The sequence below is a fragment of the Homo sapiens genome, chromosome 12 (assembly GCF_000001405.40).
Source record: "Homo sapiens chromosome 12, GRCh38.p14 Primary Assembly".
NCBI classification, from domain to species: Eukaryota; Metazoa; Chordata; class Mammalia; order Primates; family Hominidae; genus Homo; species Homo sapiens.
In genome coordinates this window covers 8,969,445-8,992,066 of record NC_000012.12, presented here as the reverse complement: position 1 = coordinate 8,992,066, position 22,622 = coordinate 8,969,445, and the positions used below count along the sequence as shown (strand labels likewise).

Genomic DNA, 22,622 nt, shown 5'->3' with positions numbered 1-22,622 from the left:
GATGTGTCAGGAACTTGCTCTAAAGTCTAAGGTAACCACCAACACCTGTATCAAAGAACTTACTATATTTATCAAGATAAAGAATGCTTTTTTCCTTTGAAACTGTGACTTACACTGTCTCATACTTAGGTGGTGAGAATACAAATTGGTACCTCTTTGGAGGACAATTGGGCAATATCTACCAAAACGGCAAAGGCATGTACCCTTTGACCTAGAAATTTCTCCTTAAGAAATTTTTCCTACAGATACTCGCGGGTGCAAAATGTCATATTTATTCGTGGCAGCAATATTTGTAGGAGGAGAAGACTGAATACAATCTACATTCTATCAGTAAAAGGCCAGTCAAATACATTTTTGATATATCCATAAAGTGAATATATAGCTTCTAATAAAAACTGGCTTTTTTTTTAACTGATATGGAATATTTTGTAAGATATATAGTCAAGACAAAGAAACATTCTGCAGAACAGGATATACAAATATCTCTGCAAGCACACTCAAGAATCTGATAACATTGTTTGCCTCTGGAATGGAAAAAACAGTCACTGGAGACAAAATAGGAAAAAGACTTTTTACCCTATTTTCTTTTGTACCTTTTGAATTTTGAACCATGTAAACATATTATCTACTCGAAATTGAAATACATAAAATTTAAATAAAAATAATCTACATTTCAGAAGTGCTTTGTAAACTGTCGTTATTAAAAGAGCAGTAAGTTTAAGTTGATGCCAAGTTTAAGAATAGGACACTACTTCATGTTAGCTGTGTTGCATACAACCGAAATCTAAATTTTAAATTTGAAAAATGGAAGTATTTTCAGCAAATCTTTATTTTAAAATCAAAGGTATCTCATAGTGCAATAGTGTAGAAATTACGTGTAACGAGCAAAACTCTGTGAAGTAAGATGATATTTAACTTCTAATTTTGATTCCTTTGCTTAATAACATTTAATTAGGAAATTAAACTTGCCTATTTGGGCTTCAATTTTCTGATTAAATTTTAGATAAATTATTCTATATATGTGTGTATCTATGGAGTATTCTGAACTTCTTAAAGAAAAAAATTCATAATGAGAGATGCCTTCATAAATAGAGAATTCTGCATAATAAATATTTGGACTGATGAATCCAAAAGCATTAAGATTTCTAGAAAAACTTTTAAAAATACATTTGCATCACAGGAGAACATTTAATGAAATACACAAATGTTCATTTTTATGTTATGCTAAATTTTAAAAAGGTATCAAACCATAATTGAATTTGTGTAACCACAAGCCAATTCAAGAAGTAAAGTAAATTTTTAAAATTTACTTTAAGTATATATTGAAAGCCTCTAAATAGTTCCAACTAGGTTCCAATTTATCACCAGTTGTGTGTGTGACCTTGAACATATACTTTGAGATATGCATTACTTCTAACGTAATATTTCTATTCCTTAGAAATTAACATAGATACAATTCAAAAATAGGAAAAGGTTACACAAATAAAGATATCCAATGCTATATAATTTATGGTAATAGAAATAGGTCTAAATATCCCAAGTATACTAGAATGATTTAGCAAATTAAGGCAACACTCTCAAAAGACATTAAAAATTATAATAGTAAAACTATGTAGTAAAAAGAGAGAAAGCTTAGGGAACTACCCTAAAGAATACACCTTGTGGGAGTTCACTGCCTACGATACAAAATCAAGGATTAATTTTGGCATTTACACTATTACCTGTCTGTCTCAGATAATATTCTCTCAGGGCTCTATGTAAAAATGGCTCTTTTGCCTTCAAATCCTCAGTCACAGAGACTATTATCTGTAGTTTCTTGATACTTTTTCTTCCCTGTCACCATTCTAGTGCAACACTGTGAAGTTAAAAAAAAAAAACAAAACTAGATATGTAAATCAGTTTCTTTCCTGACAAAAATCTTACTCGTATCCACCAGCAAAACTATTGGTGTCCTCCTCATTCCATAGTCAGAAAAACAGCCATACCTAGAATTTAAACAGCTGGTCCAAGGTTACTCCGAATATAACTAAAGAGATAAAATTCTCCCAACAAAGTTCCCGCTTTAGCTAAGAGCAAGAAGGAATAACGGCAATGCCCTAAGTTGGGTTTCTAAGATGCGATCAAAGAAGTGAACAGTTAGAAAAGAGTTTACCTGAGACCTAAGATCAGATCCTGTACCATACACCAACTTTTCATATTCCAACTCTGGACTTTAAACTGAACCAAAAGTATTTCCTCAAATTATCCTCAATTCTTCTGCACCCTCTGCTTTAAACTTATTCTACTCCCCATTCATCCATAGCCTACTGTTGCTATGCATCGTCTTCCATGCTACCTTGGTTAACTCACATTTTTGCTGTGGTCCATAGTCATTCTGGGCTTGGGTTGCCGTAGGCAACTCTAACATGGAATAAATAACACTGTCAGTCATCTTCAGCTAAGATCTTTCACATGCAGTTGAGAGAGTTAAATTATAGAAGTGTGAAGGGATATGTATCAGTGAGGAAACAGCCCAATCTCTAAACTGCTAGCAGGAAACTTCACAAAAGCAGAAGTAATTTTTCAGGAAATGATTCAAATTTGGGGGCTGCCTATAGAAATTAATATTGTAAGTTGCTATTTTTTTGCCCCATGACACTGTAGATGCTCACTAAATATATATTAAATTGATTCCCCATCTCACCTAATTCTGTTGAGCAAGGAAAAATTGCTCTCAAGTCCAGCAATTTCAGTTATGGAAACTAAAATAAAAGTGAGAGTGGTTACTAGCTATGAATTTCTCTCGGAATTTTTTCTCTGCTTTGTTTCCTTCTGAAAAAGTAGATGTATGCCAAATGAGACTGACTTCATCATTTCTTGGAACTTTTGGGCAGTGATAAGCAATAACGAAATGGACTGTTGGGTGCATATGCCTGGAATCACGGGAGAAATAGACTATTACCCAGATATATTTTGTGAATATGACATGACCACATCTTCCCCAAAACCTTGTCCAAATTGTGTGATGGTCTTTACCCTTCACAGTATCAGAAATTCCATTATATTTTTTCTCTTTGTTGTCTTATTTTTTTTATTATTATACTTCATGCAAAGATAACTAAAAAGAAGAGCAAAGTAAACAAATACATTCTAACATCTTAGTAATTTGTTTTTAGTAGGTGAAAAGTTAATAAAAAGTTAGAGTAGGCCAGGTGTGGTGGCTCACGCCTGTAATCCCAGCACTTTGGGAGGCCAAGGAGGGTGGATCACCTGAGGTCAGGAATTCAAGACCAGCCTGGCCAACATGGTGAAACCCCGTCTCTACTAAAAATACAAAAAAATTAGCTGGGTGTGGTGGTGGGGGCTGTAATCTCAGCTGCTCAGGAGGCTGAGGCAGGAGAATGGCTTGAAACCGGGAGGCGGAGGTTGCAGCGAGCCGAGACTGCACCATTGTACTCTATCTAGCCTGGGCAACAAGAGTGAAACTCCGTCTAAAAAAAACAAAAGTTAAAGTAAGGAAACAGAAAGAGTATTGAAACTCTTAAGAGTGGATAAGATCATCAAGATAGACTGCATAAGGATAAAAGAAGAGAAACAGGGAGTGCTTTATATTAATTTGTTTTATATTAATAAAAACAAATATATTTCTGCTTCCAGCCATGACAGAATGGCATTAGACTTACTCTCCAATCAAAATACAACACATGGCAAGACACACAAGGCAGCTATTTTCAGGAACACACAGGCAGCATTGTGATCCTTGAGAGAATACAAAGGTGAGTGCAATGATCACCCTAGCTTTCTATCTAGGACCACTTTCTAGTACAGAGCACAAAAATGAATCCTAAACAGAACAGCAGTCTTACTAAAATGAGGAGGCAGATATTGGAGTTTTGAGCTGCTTAAATGGCTGGAATTTGCAGGGCAGGATAATTCACAAGAGAGAGGCACCCTTAAGACTGTAGGAATTCACTGTATGTCTGTGGCCAAGTTCTAGGCTGCGCAGACATAGGACAAAACTCTGCAAGTCCAAGCTGAGATAGTTCCTGCAGGGCCAAGAGCTGAACAGAAAGGACAGAGGTGATGCATTGCTTAGTAGCACCAACCAAAAACAGAGCAAAACTTAACATTGCCAAAAAGAGTCATCAATAGTTTAGCTGCCTCTGAGAACAAATTTTCACGCCCTTAATATGAAGGCAAAACAAACAAAATGTGGTCTACACATACAATGGAATATTAGTCTTAGAAAGGAAATCCTGTCATACTTTATAACACTGATGAACCTTGAAAACATTATACTAAGTGAAATGAACTGATCACAAAATGACAAATACTGTGTGATTCCACTTATATGAGGAATCTAAAGTAGTCAAACCCATAGACAAAGAAAGAAGAATGGTTACTGAAAGAAGTTTGGAGGGAAAAAGAAAAGGAAGTTGCTTAATGGGTACAGGGTTTCAGTTTTGCAGTGTGATTAAGTTCTGGAGATACGGTACACAACAATGTGAATATTCTTGTATTCACTTGCTTGGACTATCACAACAAAATACCATAGACTAGGTGACTTAAACAACAGAAATTTATTTATATTTTCATCATTCCACAGACTGAAAGTCTAAGATCAAGATGCCAGCAGAGTTGGTGTTTGGAGAGTGCTTCCCCTGTGGGTTGCAGACTTCTCACTATATCCTCAAGTGGCTTTTCCTCAGTGTGTGCACAAGGGAAGAAAGAGAGAGGGCTCTGGTCTCTCTTCTTACAAGAACATTAATCCTATCAGATCAGGGCCCCACCCTTGTAACCTGATTTAACCTTAATTACTTCCTTAAACACTCCATCTCCAAATACAGTCACACTGAGGATTAGGGCTTCAATATGTGAATCTGGGGGAGACAAACATTCAGTCCATAATAATACTTAACACTACTGAATTGTATGCTTTAAAATAATTAAGATCATTTTTTAAAAAAAGGAAGGTGTATTAGTCCATTCTTGCACTGCTATAAAGAAATACCTGAGGCCAAATAATTGATAAAGAAAAGAGGTTTAATTGGCTCACAGTTCTGCAAGATGTACAGGAAGCATAGTGGCATCTGCTTCTGGGCAGGCCTCAGGAAACTTAGTCATGGTGGAAGGCAAAGGGAAATGTCTTACATGGCCAGAGCAGGAGCAAGAGAGACGCGGGGAGGTGTTACACACTTTTAAACAACCAGGTCTTGTGAGGAACTCTATCAGGAGAACAGCTCTAGGGGTATGGTACTAAACCATTCATGAAAAACCATCCGCGTGATCCAATCACCTCCCACCAGGCCCCATCTCCAACACTGGAGATTACAATTCAACGTCAGATTTGGGTGGGGATGCAGATCCAAACCACATCAGAAGGCAACATAGGAATCAGGGGCTCTTTGAAGAAATGGCTAATTCTAGGGCCAGGACAGGGAAAGTACAAAATAAGCTTGGAGGATCTTCCAGTCTTTTAATGTTAAAAAATAAGCAAGTTAAAAAAAAAAAGATGGGAGCATATCAGGACACAGAAACCAACCTGGAAAAGCTCCCAATGGAACAATATGAACAACAAAATAAATGACAGTGTTGAATTATAACACAAGGGGAAAAACTATATAAATCCATACTGATTTAAATAAATAAATAGGTGAGAAGTGACAAATCTTGCTTACAGAAAATACCAAATAATATATGTAGATACTCCCCATTCAGGATGTGGAATTTAACTCTCCTCCCTTTGAGGGTAGTCAGGGATAAGAGACTCACTTCCAAAGAGTACACTATGGATAAAAGGAAATAGTAACTATTCATTAAAGAATCTTGGCAAATACCACCTCAACCACATGAACAGGGTTCACTGCGTGAACCACCAGTGATGAGTCTTGTTGATATCATGTACCCCCTAATATGATGCAATGATAAAAGCACCTAACCAGTAAGGTTTGTTCCCCAAAATCCATAACCCCAGGGTGGTATTATACATATGTATATATTGGTTTTCATCCACAGTTTCTGGCTCCTAACTCCTATGGTCCCTGTTACAGTCCTTTCTTATAATGTTGAGTGTGTCAGGCCCCAAGGGGAAGGCCTCTGGCCTTCTTCTGCCCTCCTTTCATCTGCCTCAAGGCAGGACTCTAATTTTCCCCTGCCTTTCTGATTGTGGGTCTTAAAACCTTCCCCAGAGAGGGTCCTGCCCTTTACTGGGGTGACAAGGGGAGGGGGTCAGCAGCAAGAATGCTGATGTCCTGAAGCTTCCATAAAAACCCAAGAGAACTGTGTCAGAATGCTTCCAGATGACTGAACCTGTGGAGATTCCTGGAGAGCAGCCTTCCCAGAGAGGGCATGGAAGCTCCACACCCCTTTCCCCATACCCTGCCCTACAGTTCTCTTCATCTGTATCTTTTGTAATATACTTTATAATAAACTGATAAACATAAGGGTTTCCCTGAGTTCTGTGAGCTGCTCCAGCAAATTAACTGAACTCAAAGGGGAAGTTGTGGAAATCCCAACTTGAAGCTTATTGGTCAGATGTTCCAGAGGCCCAGACTTGTGACTGGTGTCTGTGGGTGTAGGGGGTGATCTTGCATATTGAATCCCTGAAATGTAAGATCTAACACTATCTCCAGGTAGATAATGTCGGAATTGAATTAGAGGATACCCAGTTGGTGTCTGCTAATTGGTATGTGGGGAACACCCCTACCACATTTGGTCACACAAGTCTTCTTCTGTGTTGATAATTGTGGTAGTGCTGGTGTGAAAGCAGAAGAAAAACACAGCTGAAGAAAGTTTTCCCCTACACATCCAATGTAAACATGCAAAAAAAAAATCAGATAATTCTAAATTGAGTGGTACTCTACTAAATATCTGACCAATACTCTTAAAATATATCAAGTTCACGAAAAAAAAAAAACACTGAGAAACTGTCATAGACCAGAGGAAAACAATAAATATAACAACTAGATGTAATGTGGTATCCTGGATTGGATCTTGGAACAGCAAAAAGAGCATTAGTGGAAAACTGGTAAAATTCAAACAATGTAGCAATATTCATTTCTTACATTTGAGAAATGTGCCATGATTTTTTAAGATGCTAACATTAGGGGAAATGGGGTGAAAGGTATAAAGAAATGTTCTGTGCTATCTTAAAAACATTTCTGTAAATCTGAAATTATTCCCCAATAAAACTTTTCTTCAAAAAAGAGGATACATAACACAGATTAGCCATAATGCATCACATTTAATATCTAGCATACAATAAAATATTATTAGAATCCAAAGAAATAAGAATATATGGGCCATGGATCAAAGAAAAGTCAGTAAGTAGAAAAGAAACTTATGTAACATAGATGCTGGAACTAGCAAACAAGGACTTTAATATCTGCATAAATACGTTCAAAGACTTAGAAGAAAATATAGTCATAATGAATAAAAATTTGAAGAATCTCAGAGAAGTAGAAACTACCAAAAAGAATCAAGTGACTATTCCAGAACAGAACAGCATTCATAATTTTTAAAAATAACTGAATGAGGGCCAGGCACGGTGGCTCACAGCTGTAATCCAGCATTTTGGGAGGCGGGGGCAGGTGGATAATTTGAGGTCAGGAGTTCAAGACCAGCCTGGCCAACATGGTGAAACCCTGTCTCTACTAAAAACATAAAATATTAGCCTGGCCAACATGGTGAAACCCTGTCTCTACTAAAAATATAAAACATTAGCCTGGCCTGGCGGCACATGCCTATAGTCCCAGCTGCTCAGGAGGCTGAGGCAGGAGAATCACTTGAACCCAGGAGGCAGAGGTTGCAGTGAACTGAGATTGCACTACGGCACTCCAGCCTAGGTGACAGAGCGAGACTCCATCTCAATAATAATAATAATAATAGCTGAATGAGATTAATAGCAAATAGAAGAGGGCAGATAAAAAGGTCAGTAAACATGAAGACAGATTGCTAAAAATAATCCAATATGAAGAATAGAGGGAAAAAATGGGAGAAAAAAATGAACAGAACCTCAGTGACCTATGAACAATGCCAAATAGTATAACAAAAGTGAAACTGTAGTCCCCCAAAATAAAGGGGACATATAATGAAATCGGAAAGGAATTTGAAAAAGTAATGATCAAATATTCCCCAAATTTGGGATACAACCTACAGGTATAAGAAACTCACTGAATCCGCATCAAGATAAACAGAAGGAAAATCACTCCTAAGAACATAATCTAAAACTAATAAAAACCAAAGATAAAAAGAAAATACTGAAAACAGCCAGAGGAAAATAAATAACACATTAATAATGGGAAACAACACATGAATGATAGCTAAATTCTCAACAGAAACAAAAAAGGAGAAAAGCAATGAGATGTCATCTTTAAAATGGTAAAATGGGCCAGGCACGGCGGTTCACGGCTGTAATCCCACCACTTTAGGAGACCAAGGCACATGGATCACCTGAGCTCACCAGTTCGAGACCAGCCTGGCCAACATGGTGAAACCCCGTCTCTACTAAAAATACAAAAATTAGCTAGGTGTGGTGGCAGGCGCCTGTAATCTCAGGTACTCTGGAGGCTGAAGCAGGAGAATCGCTTGAACCCAGGAGGCCGAGGTTGCAGTGAGCTGAGATTGCACCATTACACTCCAGCCTGGGCAACAAGAGCGAAACTCTGTCTCAAAAAAAAAAAAAAAAAAAAAAGGTAAAATGGTAAGACTGCCAATACAGAATTCTATATCCAGAAAAAGTATCCAATAGAAATGAAGAGGAAGTAAAAATATTTTCAGAGCAGAGAAAATAGCAAATTTGTCATGAGCAGTCCAGCACTACAAGAAATGCTAAAAGAAGTTCTTAGAAAATAAGTATCACTAGATAAAAACATAGATATACAGAAAACATTGAAGAGCAACAGAAATGGTAAATATATAAGTACATATAAAGAATTATATTTATTTTCTTTTCCCATCTTAATTTCTTTAAAAAAAACAGAAAGTAAAACAGATAAGGCAAATCATTTTAAAAAACAGCAAAATGATAAAGCCAGTCTTATCAATAATTGAATTCATCATAAATGGACTGCTGCACCAAATAAATGGCACAAATTGTAAGACTAGAAGAAAAAGCAAGAACCAAAAAGATATTGTCTGTTCTGGCTAGGCATGGTGGCTCACACCTGTAATCCCAGAACTTTGGGAGGCTGAGGCGGGCAAATCACCTGAGGTCATGAGTTCAAGGCCAGCCTGGCCAACATGGTGAAACGCTATCTCTACTAAAAATACAAAAAATAGCCAGGCGTGGTGGCAGGTGCCTGTAATCCCAGCTGTTTGGGAGGCTGAGGCAGGAGAATTGCTTGAACCCAAAAGGTGGAGGTTGCAGTGAGCCAAGATCGCACCATTGCACTCCAGCCTGGACAACAAGAATGAAACTCCATCTCAAAAAAAAAAAAAAAAAAGATATTGTCTGTTCTGGCTGTAAGATATGCACTTTAAATATAATGACAGATTAAAAGAAAGGTATACAAATATATACAATGTGCAAACCAATATACACATTACAGTAAGCACCTGGAGTGGTGTGTTAGTTTCTTATCACTGCTGTAACACATAACCTAACACAAACTTAGTGACTTAACATAACATATATTTATTTTCTTAAAGTTTTGTAGGTCAGAAGTCCAAAATCAAGGTTTTGGCAGAACTGATTTCCTTCTGGGAAAGTCAAGGAAATGTTCTCCTCTAAAGCCTCCAGAAGGAAATCAGTTTTGCCAAATTTCAAATTTCTTGGCTTGTGGATTCTTCTGCCACCTTTGAAGTATATAATTCCAACCTCTGCTTTTATTGTTACAACTCTGTTTTCTGACTTTGACTCTACTGCTTCCCTCTTATAAGGACTCTCATAATTACCTTGAACCCACGTGAACAAACCAGCATGATCTCTCCATCTCAAGATTATTAGCTTAATCCTATCTACAAAGTATCTGTCATATAAGGTAACATAATTATAGGCTGAAGGGATTAGGGTGTTAACATATTTGAGGTGGGGAGAGACATTATTCAGCCTTCCACAAGTGGTCATACTAATATAAGACAAAAATAGGTGAGTATAAAGAGGTACATTTCATAATTACATGAGTTACTGATTGCATCAAGCATATATAACAACTATAAATAAGTATGCACCTAATTTTGAGCTTCAAAACATATGAACAGAAGCAAAAGCTGAGTTAAAGAAAAATAAACATCAATAATCATAGTTGGATATTTTAAAAACCTTTTCTCAGTAACTGATAAAACTATTAAACAAAATTCAGTAATAATATAAAAAACCTCAACACCACCATCAACCACCTTGACCAAATTAAATTAACCCAACAAAATGACATTCACCAATTAAAGAATACACGTTTTTAGGTGTAAATAAAATGTTCGCAAAGATATATTACATACTCAGCCATAATATAATACATTACAAAATATTAAAATCTTACAGATATATTTTATAACCACAGTGAAATCAATAACAAGAAAAAATCGACATAATTCCTAAATATTCGGAAATTAAAATACCCACTTTGAAGAATAACCCATGGGTAAAAGAAAAAAATAATTTTAAACGTTAAAATATTTTAAATTAAATGATTATGAAAATAGAATACAAAAATATATAGAACACAGCTAAAACAGTCTTACAGCAAATACTGTAGTTTTAAATGAATGGAAAAGAAAAAAATTAATAAATAATCCAAGTTTATAATTTATGAGGGTTAAAAAAAGAAGAGTAAATTAAAACCAATGTAAGTAGAAGAAAAGACAGAATTTTAAAATGGAAAATTAATAAAATCATGAAACAAAGACTAGAAAAATTAACAAAGCCAAAATTTGGTTCTTTGACAAGATTAAGACTGATAAACTTCTAATAAGATTGAGCAAGAGGACTAACACAGCAAGAGAGCAGACTAGGATGTACCAGTCCTTATATATCCACAAAAACAACAATTTAGCAATTATCCACAGATGAAAATAGCTCTGGGAGAGTTCTGGAGTGCAATTAAAAAGCTGCTGCAACTCAGTGAAACAGAAAAACTGAGGATGGTCATGCAGAAAAGTGTAGAAAGCATTTTACCTGTGTAACCCCATTCCCCAGGCTGGCAAAGCTCAAAGACAAGAGGAATACCATCAGCTGTGACTTCCTCACAAGGTGAAAAGGAGAGCAGGAAAACCCATGCAACCTGTGCCACTCAGGACTCTAGCAGCCATCCCCACTGCCACAAATACCCACAGCCTTAACTGCCAAGGACCCCCACAGTCTTCAAGAATGCTGACACCAGCCGATGGAGCTGCCCAGAACTCACACTGCTGCACCCCCTCCAAAGCTAGAGCCTCAGCCACACCCTCTGGAACCAGGATGAATGCTGCTTATTTACCCCAAGCCCAGCATTGCATGTGTGCACTCACCTATCAGACCCAATGCCATGACACACCCTTTAGAACTAGTGCCCATATGTGCCCCACAAGTCTCCAGTCCCATGCTGACCCAGTGCACCATGCACCTCACCCAGCCACTACCCTTGCAGGCAGTAAGAGGTGACTGCTGTTTCAAACGCATTGACACCACTGCAAGCCTATAAGGAACATAAAAAATTAAGAAAATATGACATCACCAAAAAACGCAATAGATTTCCAGTAACCAAACCCAAAGAAATGGAGATCTATGAATTGCCCGACAAAGAATTCAAAGTTAAAGTGTTTTAAAGAGGCTCAGTAAGCTAAAGATAACATAGATTGACAACTCAGTGATATCAGAAACAATATATTAACAAAACTAGAAGTTCAACAGAGAGATAGAAATCATTAAAAAACAAAAAAACAAAAAAAACAGGGCCAGGCATGGTGACTCACACCTGTAATCCCAGTAATCCCAGTAATCCCAGCACTTTGAGAGGCTGAGGTGGGCAGATCACCTGAGGTAAGGAATTTGAGACCAGCCTGGCTAACATGGTGAAACCCTGTCTCTACTAAAAATACAAAAATTAGCCAGGCATGGTGGCAGGCCCCTGTAATCCCAGCCACTTGGGAGGCTGAGGCAGGACAATCACTTAAACCTGGGAGGCAGAGGTTGCAGTGAGCCATGATCGCACTACTGCACTCCAGCCTGGGCAACAGAGCAAAACTCCAACTCAAACAAAAAACAAAAACAAAAAAAGCAGAAATTATAGAGCTGAAGAATACATGAGTAAAATAAAAAATACAATACAGAGCTTCAACAGCAGACTTGATCAAAAGAAGAAAGATTCAGCAACCTCAAACACAGGTTATTTGAAATTATCCAGTCAGAGGAGAAAAAAAAAGAATGAAAAAGAAAACCTCCAGGATTTGGGAGACATGAATGTGCAAGCCAATATACACATTATAGAAGTCCCACAAGGAGAATAGAGAAAGAAGCAGAAAACATATGTAACAAAGTAATAATTGAAAACTATCCAAATTGAGGGAAGAACATAGACATCCAGATTCAGGAATCCTAAAAGATTCCAAGTAGGTTAAACATAAAGAAGTCTACACCTAGACACATTATAATTAAATTGTTAAAGGTAAGACAAAGAGAATTTTTAAAGTAGCACAATAAAAATGACTCATCACATATAAGACTATCAGTAGATTTCTCAGCAGAAACCTTATATGCCAGGAGGATGGGATGATATATTCAAAGCACTGAAAGAGAAAACAGCTAAACCAAGAATACTATACTTGGAAAAATTATCTTTTAAAAATGAAGGACAGGCCAGGTGCAGTGTCTCACACCTGTAATCCCAGCATTTTGGGAGACTGAGGCAGATGGATCACCTGAGGTCAGGAGTTCAAGGCCAGCCTGGCCAACATGGTGAAACACTGTCTCTACTAAAAATACAAAGAAAATTAACCAGGCATGGTGATGGGCATCTGTAATCCCAGCTACTCAGGAGGCTGAGGCAGGAGAATTGCTTGAATCCAGGAGGCACAGGCTGCAGTGAGCTGACATTGCACCATTGCACTCCAGTCTGGGTGACAGAGCAAGATATGTCTAAAAAAAAAAAAAAAAGACAGGCCAGGTGAAGTGGCTCACACCTGTAATTCCAGCACTTTGGGAGGCTGAAGCAGGTGGATCACTTGAGGTCAGGAGTTCAAGACCAGCCTGGTCAACATGGTGAAACCCTGTCTTTCCTAAAACTACAAAAATTAGCCTGGTGCAGTGGCACATACCTGTAGCCCCAGGTACTCAGGAGGCTGAGGTGGGAGGATCATTTGAGCCCAGGAGGCAGAGGTTGCAGTGAGGCAGGAATGTGCCACTGCACTCCAGCCTGGGTGACAGAGTGAGACTCCAAAAAAAAAGAAAGAAAGAAAGAAGAGAGAGAGAGAAAAGAAAGAAAAAGAAAGAAAGAAAGAAAGAAAGAAAGAAAGAAAGAAAGAAAGAAAGAAAAGAAAGAAAAAGAAAAAGAAAGACTGTCACATGTAAGACTATCAGTAGGTTTCTCAGCCTAAACCTCACAGACCAAGAGAAAGGGATAAAATATTCAAAGTACTGAAAGAGAAAACAGCCAACCAAGATATACCTAGAAAAATTATTGTTTAAAAATGAAGGACAGGCTAGGTGCAGTGGTTCATGTCTGTAATTCCAGGACTTTGGGAGACCAAGGCAGTAGGATTATTTGAATCCCACATCTGGGCAACATAGTGAGAATTCATCTATACTAAAAATGTAAAAATTATAACATTTTCAAAAATTTTTAATGAAGGACAAATTACTTTTTTCTGGATAAACAAAACTTGAGGGAGTTTATCACCACTAGACCTGCCTTACAAGAGATGCTCAAGGAAGTCCTTCAAGTTGAAACATGCTAAACAGCAATGTGAAGTATGCTAACTAGCAATGTGAAAGCCTAAATCTCCTGGTGAAGGTATATAGACAAACACAGAATCATATGACACTGTAATAGTGGTACATATAGTTTTAATCCTAACATAAAAGTTAAAAAAAATAAAGATTTGTTAACCAATGCACACTATGAAAAGAATGAAACTCTTAATGCAAAAATTAGCCAGGCATGGTGGTGCACACCTGTAATCCCAGCTACTCAGGTGGCTGAGGCAGGAGAATCGCTTGAACCCAGGAGGCAGAGGCTGCAGTGAGCTGAGATGGGGCTACTGCACTCCAGCCTGGGCAACAAAGTGAGACCCTGTCTCAAAAGAATGAGATTGAAACAATACAGAAACACAAAATTCAGGCAGAGGAAGCAACACTGTACAGATTTGTATGCAATTAAATTATCAACTCAAAATAGATTATTTTAACAACAAGTTATTTTATTCAAGACTCAAAGTAACCACTAAGTGTTACAGAAAAGAATCAAAGCAATTCACTATAAAAATCATCAAATAAAAAAAAGGAAGACAGCAAGAGAGGAAGAGAAGAACAAAAGAACTATAAAACAAAAAACAACAAAATGGCAATAGTAAGTCCTCACTTACCAAGAGTTACTTTAAATGTAAATAAAATCCCCAATCAAAAGGCATACAGGCTGATTAGATTTTAAAACTCAAGATCTAGGCCAGGTGTGGTGGCTCATGCCTGTAATCCCAGCACTTTGGGAGGCCAAGGCGGGCAGATCACAAGGTCAGGAGATCGAGACCATCCTGGCTAACATGGTGAAACCCTGTCTCTACTACAAATAAAAAAAAAAAAAAAAAAATTAGCCAGGCATGGTGGTGGGCACCTGTAGTCCCAGCTAATCAGGAGGCTGAGGCAGGAATATGGCCAGAACCCAGGAGGCGGAGCTTGCAGTGAGCCGAGATCACGCCACTGCACTCCAGCCTGGGCGGCAGAGCCAGACTCCGTCTCAAAAAAAAAAAAAATCAGTAGCTAGTGATGCAATGTCTACAAGAAACTCACTTTAGACTTAAGAACAGACATAGACTGAAGTGAAGGGATAGAAAAAGATATTCCATGCAAAAAGTAACCAAAAGAGAGCAGAAATGGCTATACTTACATGAGAAAAAAAGTAAACTTTGAGGATGGGTGCAGTGGCTCTTGCCTGTAATCCCAGCACTTTGGGAGGCCCAGGCGGGTAGATCATCTGAGGTCAGGCGTTCAAGACCAGCCTGACCAACATGGTGAAACCCCGTTTCTACTAAAAAAAATACAAAAAATTAGCCAGGCGTGGTAGTACATGTCTACAATCCCAGCTACTTAGGAGGCTGAGGCAGGAAAATCACTTGAACCCATAAGGTGGAGGTTGCAGCGAGCCAAAATGCACGCCATTGCACTCCAGCCTGGGCAACAAGAGCAAAACTCTGTCTCAAAAAAAAAAGTAAACTTTGAGTCAAAAACATCCTCTAAAGAAAAAAGGTAATTTTATATTGATAAAAAGGTCAATTCAATAGGAATACATAACAATTACAAATACATATGCACTCAGTGTCAGAGAATCTAATATATAAAACAAATATTGACAGATTTGAAGGGAGAAATTGACAGCAATACAATAAATTAGTAGACCTCACTACCCCCACTTTCAGTAATGAATAGAACATATGGACAAAAAATCAATTAAAAAAGCAGCTGATTGGAACAACATGATAGACCAAATAGACCCAACAGATATATACAGAAATTTTCACCCAACAACAGAAAAATATTCTTTTCAAGAGCACAGAGAACATTCTCCAGGATAGATCACATGTCAGGTCACAAAACAAGTTGTAACAAACATAAGAAGATACAAATCATTCCAAATATCTATCTCTTTCAATTACAATGGAATGAAATAAAAATCAATAACTAATAAAATGAGAAGATCCACATTTACATAGAAACTAAAAAATATATTCTTGAACAACCACTGGGTAAAAGAAGAAATCACATGGAAATTTTAAAACTATCTGCAAACAAAAATGATAACACAAAATACCAAAACTTATGGGATGCAGTAAAAGCAATACTAAGAGGAACCTTTAGAGCAATAAACATCTACATTCAAAAAGAAAATCTCGAATAAACAATCTAACTTCACACCTCAAAAAACTAGAAAAAGAAAAACAAATTAAGCCAAATGGTAGCAAAAGGAAGGAAATAATAAAGATTAGAGCAAAAATAAATCAAATAAAGAAAAGAAAACAATAGAAGAAAATTGACAAAACCAAGAGTTTATTTTTTGAAAAGATAAAAATCAACAAACACTTAGCTAGTCTAAGAAAAAAAAAGCTGGGCCCAGTGGCTCACACGTGTAATCCCAGCACTTCAGGAGGCCAAGGTGGGCGGATCACCTGAGGTCAGGAGTTCAAGACCAGTGTGGCCAACATGGCAAAACCTCGTCTCTACTGAAATACAAAAATTAGCCAGTGTGATGGTATATGCCTGTAGTCTCAGCTACTCAGGAGGCTGGCATGGGAGAATTACTTGAGCCTGGGAAGTCAAGGCTGCAGTGAGCCATGGCCGCACCACTGCACTCCAGCCTAGGCAACAGAACAAGACCCTGTCTCAAAAGAAAAAGAAAAGAAAAGAAAGAAGAAAAAAAGAGTGAAAACACAAATAAAATAAAAAATGAATGAAGAGGCATTACAATGAATGCTTCAGAAATAGAAAGGGTCATAAGGAGCACTTAAGAATAATTATATGCCAACAAATTGGATAACCTACAAGAAATGGATACATTTCTAAAAACATAAAGCCAACTGAAACTGAATTGAGAATAACTAGAAAACCTGAAAATATCAATAATAAATGAGGAGAATAAATCAGTATTCAAAAACCTCCCAACAAATTAAAACCCAGGACTAGATGGTTCCATGGATGAATTTTACAAAACATTTAAAGAAAAATTAATAGTAATCTTCTTAAACTCTTCCAAAAAATAGAAAATGTGGCTGGGTGTGGTGGCTCATACCTGTAATCCCAGCACTTTGGGAGGCCGAGGCAGGCAGATCACTTGAGGTCAGGAGTTTGAGGCCAGCCTGGCCAACATGGTGAAACTCCATCTCTACTAAAAATACAAAAAAAAATTAGCCAGGCATGGTGACAGGTGCCTGTAATCGCAGCTACTCTGGAGGCTGAGGTAGGAGAATTGCTTGAATCTGGGAGGCAGAGGTTGCAGTGAGCCTAGATCACACCACTGCACCCCAGCCTGGCTGACAGAGCAAGACTCTGTCTCAAAAAAAGAAGAAGAAGAAGAAGAAGAGGTAATGCCTCCTCATAATTATTATGAGGCAAGCAATATCAAAGATACCACAAGAAAAGGAAACTACAGACAAATGTCCCTGATAAAAACAGATGTAAAATCCTCAATAAAATACCCGTAAACCAAATAACAACAGCACATTAAAAGGCTCATGCACCATGACCAAGTGGAATTTATCCCTGGATTGTAAGAATGATTCAACACTAGCAAATCAATGAATGTAATACACCACATTAACATAATGAAAAAACTCTTTTGATTATCTCAATAGATGCAGAAAAAGCATGTAGCAAAATTTGACATTCATTCATAATGTACATTCTCAAAAAATGGGTATAGAGAGAATGTACCTCAATATAATAAAAACCATATAAAGAAGCCCACAGCTAACATCCCAATCAATACAGAAAAAACTGAGACAGCCGGGCGCAGTGGCTCACGCCTGTAATCCCAGCACTTTGGGAGGCCGAGGTGGGTGGATCACAAGGTCAGGAGATCGAGACCATCCTGGCTAACACGGTGAAACCCCGTCTCTACTAAAAATACAAAAAATTAGCCGGGTGTGGTGGTGGACGCTTGTAGTCCCAGCTACTCGGGAGGCTGAGGCAGAAGAATGGCATGAACCCGGGAGGCGGAGCTTGCAGTGAGCCGAGATCGCGCCACTGCACTCCAGCCTGGGCAACAGAGTGAGACTCCATCTCAAAAAAAAAAACAAAACAAACAAACAAACAAAAAAACAAAAAACTGAGAGTTTTGCCTGTAAGATCTGGTTAAAGGAAAAGATGTCATTCTCACTATTTCCATTCAACATAGTGCTGGATATCCTAGCCAGAGCAATTAGAGAAGAAAATGAAATAAAGGCATCCAAATTAAAAAGAAAGAAGTAAAACTATAGCTATTTGCAGTAGACATGATTATATATATAGAAAACTAAAAGACTCAACAAAAAAAGTATTAGAACTAGTAAAGTTGCAGAATACAAAATCAACATACAAAAATCATTCATGTTTCTATACACAATGAACTATCTGAAAAGGAAAATTTTAAATTAATACCATTTATAATAGCAAGAAAAAGAATAAAATACTTAGAATTTATTTCTATTTAGCCAAAGAGTTGAATTGAAAGACTTACACACTGAGAATTATAAAACATTAATGAAGGAAATTAAATAAGACACAGATAAATGGAAAGATATCCCATGTTCATGGATAGGAAGAATTATTACTGTTAAAATATCCATACTATGTCTTAGTCCATTTGTGCTTCTATAACAAAATACCTAAGACTGGGTAATTTTATTTGTCATATTCTCTGGAAGTCCAAGATCAAGGCACAGGTTCAATGTCTGATGAAGGCCCAGTCTCTGTTCCAAGATGGCACCTTGTTGCTATGCCCACCAGAGCGAATGAACACTTGTTCTCATATGGGCAGAAGGCAGAAGGGCAAAAGGCGACTACCTGGTTTCCTCCAGCCTTTTTATAAGGTCATGAATTCCATTCATGAGGGCAAAGCCCTCATGACCCAATCACCTCCTAAAGTTCCCACATTCACCTCCTAAAGGTCCCACATCTTAATACTATCATATTGGCAATTAAGTTTCAACATATTAATTTGAGGGGACACATACAAACCACAGCCCACCCAAAGTGATCTACAGATTAAATGCAATCTTTATCAAAGTCCCAATGGCATTCTTTTTTTTTTTTTTTTTTTTTTTTTTCTTTTGAGATGGAGTCTCGCTCTGTCACCCAGGCTGGAGTGCAATGGCACGATCTCAGCTCACTGAAACCTCTGCCTCCTGGGTTCTAGCAATTCTCCTGCCTCCGCCTCCCAAATCCCAGCCTCCCTCAGCCCAGCTGGGATTACAGGTGTGCGCCACCATGCCCGGCTAACTTTTTTATTTTTAGTAGAGATAGGATTTCACCATGTTGCCCAGGCTGGTCTCGAACTCCTGACCTCAGGTGATCCACCCACCTGGGCCTCCCAAAGTGCTAGGATTACAGGTGTGAGCCACTGTGCCCAGCCCCAAGTGGCATTCTTTATAGAATAGTAATAATAATCCTTAAATTTATATGGAATCACAAAAGACCCCAAATAGCCAAAGTAATCTTGAGCAAGAAGAGAAAAGCTGGAAGTATCACACTTCCTGATTTCAAGATATATCAGAAAGCTACAGCAATCAAAATAGTATAATACTGCCATGAAAACAGACATATAAACCAATGGATGAGAATAGGGAGCACAACAACAAATCCACGTATTTACAGTTAAATGATCTTTGACAAGGTTGCTAAAAGCATACAAAAGGCAAAGAATAGTTTCTTCAATAAATGGTGTTGGGAAAACCAGATATCTACATGCAGAAGAATGAAACTGGACTTAACTCACACCATATAAAAATTCAACTTAAAATGGATTAAAGACTGGCTGGGTGCAGTGGCTCACGCCTGTAATCCCAGCACTTTGGGATGCCGAGGCAGGGGCGGATCACGAGGTTAGGAGATCGAGACCATCCTGGCTAACACGGTGCAACCCCGTCTCTACTAAAAATACAAAAAATTAGCCAGGAGTGGTGGCGGGTGCCTGTGGTCCCAGCTACTCGGGAGGCTGAGGCAGGAGAATGGTGTGAACCCAGGAGGTGGAGCTTGCAGTGAGCTGAGATTGCGCCACTGCACTCTAGCCTGGGCGACAGAGCGAGACTCCGTCTCAAAAAAGAAAAAATGGATTAAAGACTTAAACATAAGGCCTGAAACTGTAAAACTACTCTAGGAAAACAGAGGGGAAATCTTCTTGACATTGGCCTGGGCAATGAGTTTTTGGATGTAACACCAAAAGCACAGACAACAAAAGTAAAAATAGACAAATGGTATTTCATTAAACTAAAAAGCTTCTGCACTGCAAAGGAAACAATCGACAGAGTGAAAAGACATTCTATAGAATGGGAGAAAATATTTGTAAACCATATATCTGATAAGGGGTTAATATCCAAAATATATAAATAGCTGATACAAAACTTTTTTCTTTTTAAACAGAGGTCTCACTATGTTAACCAGGCTGGTCTCAAACTACTGGCCTCAAGCAATCCTCCAACTTCAGCCTCCCAGGTGGCTCAGGCCTGTAATCCCAGCACTTTGGGAGGCCGAGGCAGGCGGATCACTTGAGGTCAGGAGTTCAAGACCAGCCTGGCCAACATGGTGAAACCCCGTCTCTACTGAAAATACAAAAATTAGCCAGGTGTGGTAGCACACGCCTGTAATCCCAGCTACTTGGGAGGCTGAGGCAGGAGAATCGCTTGAACCTGGGGGTTGTGGGCGGGGTGGTGGGGGGGTTGCAGTGAGCTGCTGCACTCCAGCCTGGGCAACAGAGCAAGAATCTGTCTCAAAAAAAATAAATAAATAAAAACTAAAATAACAAAGAGAAAAAACACAAATTACCAATATCAAGAATGGAGAGGCTATATTGCTAAAGATTTTAAAGACATTAAAAGTATAATAAGGTAATGTTATATCTTTATGTCAATAAATTTAACAAGTTAGATTAAGTAGACAAATTATTTATGGAAAAAAAACAGAATTTAACAAACTGACACAAAAAGAAATAAATTTTTGAATAGCTCTTTACCACTAAAAAAAAAAGAATTGGTTAATACACACTTACCCACAAAGAAAACTTCGTGCTCAGGTGACTTCAATAGCATACTATATTAAACTTTAAGAAATAAATAACAATGCTCCTTCAAAAAGTAGAAAATGTAAGTACACTCTCCCAATTTGGTTTAGGAGGCCATTATGACTCTGATACCAAACCTGACAAAAAATTGCAAGAAAAGAAAATTACAGACGCTCCGCCTTCAAGATTATAGACATGAAAATCTTTAACAAAATATCTATAAAAATATAAAATAAATCATCATGACAAAGTACAGTTTATCCCAGAAATGTACAATGTTGGTTTAACATTCTAAAAGCAATCAATGTACTTTGCCATATTAACATAATGAAAAAGAAAAAAGATATAGATCACGTGAACTGAAGCAGAAAGAAGCATGAAAAAAAATTCAACACCCATTCAGAATAAATAAGGTCTGCAAAAGAACAGAAGGAAACTTTCTCAATTTGATAATGGCTTCTACATAAAACCTACAACTAACCTAACACACTTAAGGTGAAATATTGAATGTTATCTCAGTAAGATTAAGAACAAGGCAAGGATGTCTTATTTCAGCAACTCTATGAAACACTGTACTGAAATCCTAGAGAAAAGTAAATAAATAAAAGATGAAAAGGAAGAAGTGGAATTTACCAGTGAAGCCGAAAAGTAAATAAATAAAAGATGAAAAGGAAGAAGTGGAATTTACCAGTGAAGCCATCTGGGCCCAAAGCTTTCATTGTGGGAAAACTTTAACCATAAATTCAATTTTTTCAGTGGATAGGGGAATATACAGGCTATCTGTTTCCTTGAGTGACTTTGGTAGTTAGTGTCTGTCAATTTATTTGTTCTTTTCATCTAAGTCAGGGATCAGCAAACGTTTTCTGTAAGAAGCCACACAGTAAATATTTCAGGCTTTTCTGGCAATGTGGTCTCCCACAACTACTCACTTCTGCCACTATAGTACAAAAGCAGCCATAGATACAATGTAAATAGTTGTGTGTGTGTTCCAATAAAACTTTACTCACAAAAGAAATGGCAAGCCAGATTAGGCACACAGGCCAGATTTTACTGACCACTTATTATCGTGGTTGTTTTGCTTTGTTTTGTTTTGTTTTTTGAGACAAGGTCTCCCTCTGTAGCCCAGACTGGTGGAGAATGGCACAATCACAGCTCACTGCAGCCTCAACCTCCCAGGCTTAGGCAATCCTCCCACCTCAGCCTCCAGAGTAGCTGAGACCACAGGCATGCACCACCATACCTGGCTAACTTTGGTATTTTTTGTAGAGATGGGGTTTCACCATGTTGCCCAGTCTGGTCTCAAACTCCTGGGCTCAAGCAATCCACCTGTCTTGGCCTCCCAAAGTGTTGAGATTACAGGCATGAGCCCCACCATGCCCAGCCCTTAGTATGCTTTTCATGGCTTAGAATCTATAGTGATTTTACCTCCCTGATTCCTGATATTGGAAATGTGTGCCTTTCCTCTAGTCATTTTGTCAACATTTTATCAATTTTATTGATCACTTTAAAAAACTAGATTTTGGCTTCATTTTCTCTGTTGTTTTTCTATTTTCTATTCCATTGATGTCTTGTGCCTCTTTATTAGATTCTTCCTTTTGCTTACTTTAAGTGTAATTTCCTCCTCTTCCTCTCATTCCTCAATGTGAAAGCTTAGATCATTGATTTGAGACTTTTTTTTTTAACTAAAATAAAAGAGCTCAACCAGAAGTTCCACACTTTCACCTGCTACGGTAGCCAGCCCACTGCCAAGGAGAAGCCTGCAACCTCAGA

At 37.9% G+C, this 22,622-nt stretch overlaps 1 protein-coding gene across 13 annotated transcripts in view; it reads right to left on the bottom strand.

Annotated features, from left to right (window-relative positions):
* KLRG1 (killer cell lectin like receptor G1) overlaps nt 1-22,622 on the bottom strand; it is a 265,527-nt gene that overhangs the window by 223,504 nt on the left and 19,401 nt on the right. For 7 of the 13 annotated variants that reach the window (NR_137428.2, XM_017018685.2, XM_047428074.1 and 4 more), the window contains exon 1: nt 2,350-2,521. The exons of 5 other annotated variants lie outside the window; for them this stretch is intronic. Coding sequence is in view for 6 of the 8 variants with exons in the window: in XM_017018685.2 (XP_016874174.1) it covers nt 2,350-2,431 (82 nt within the window). In the remaining 2 variants the exon portion in view is untranslated. Of the gene's footprint in view, nt 1-1,721; nt 1,856-2,349; nt 2,522-22,622 lie in introns of those variants that run through there. One more of the 13 variants, NM_001329102.2, reaches the window with a different exon arrangement.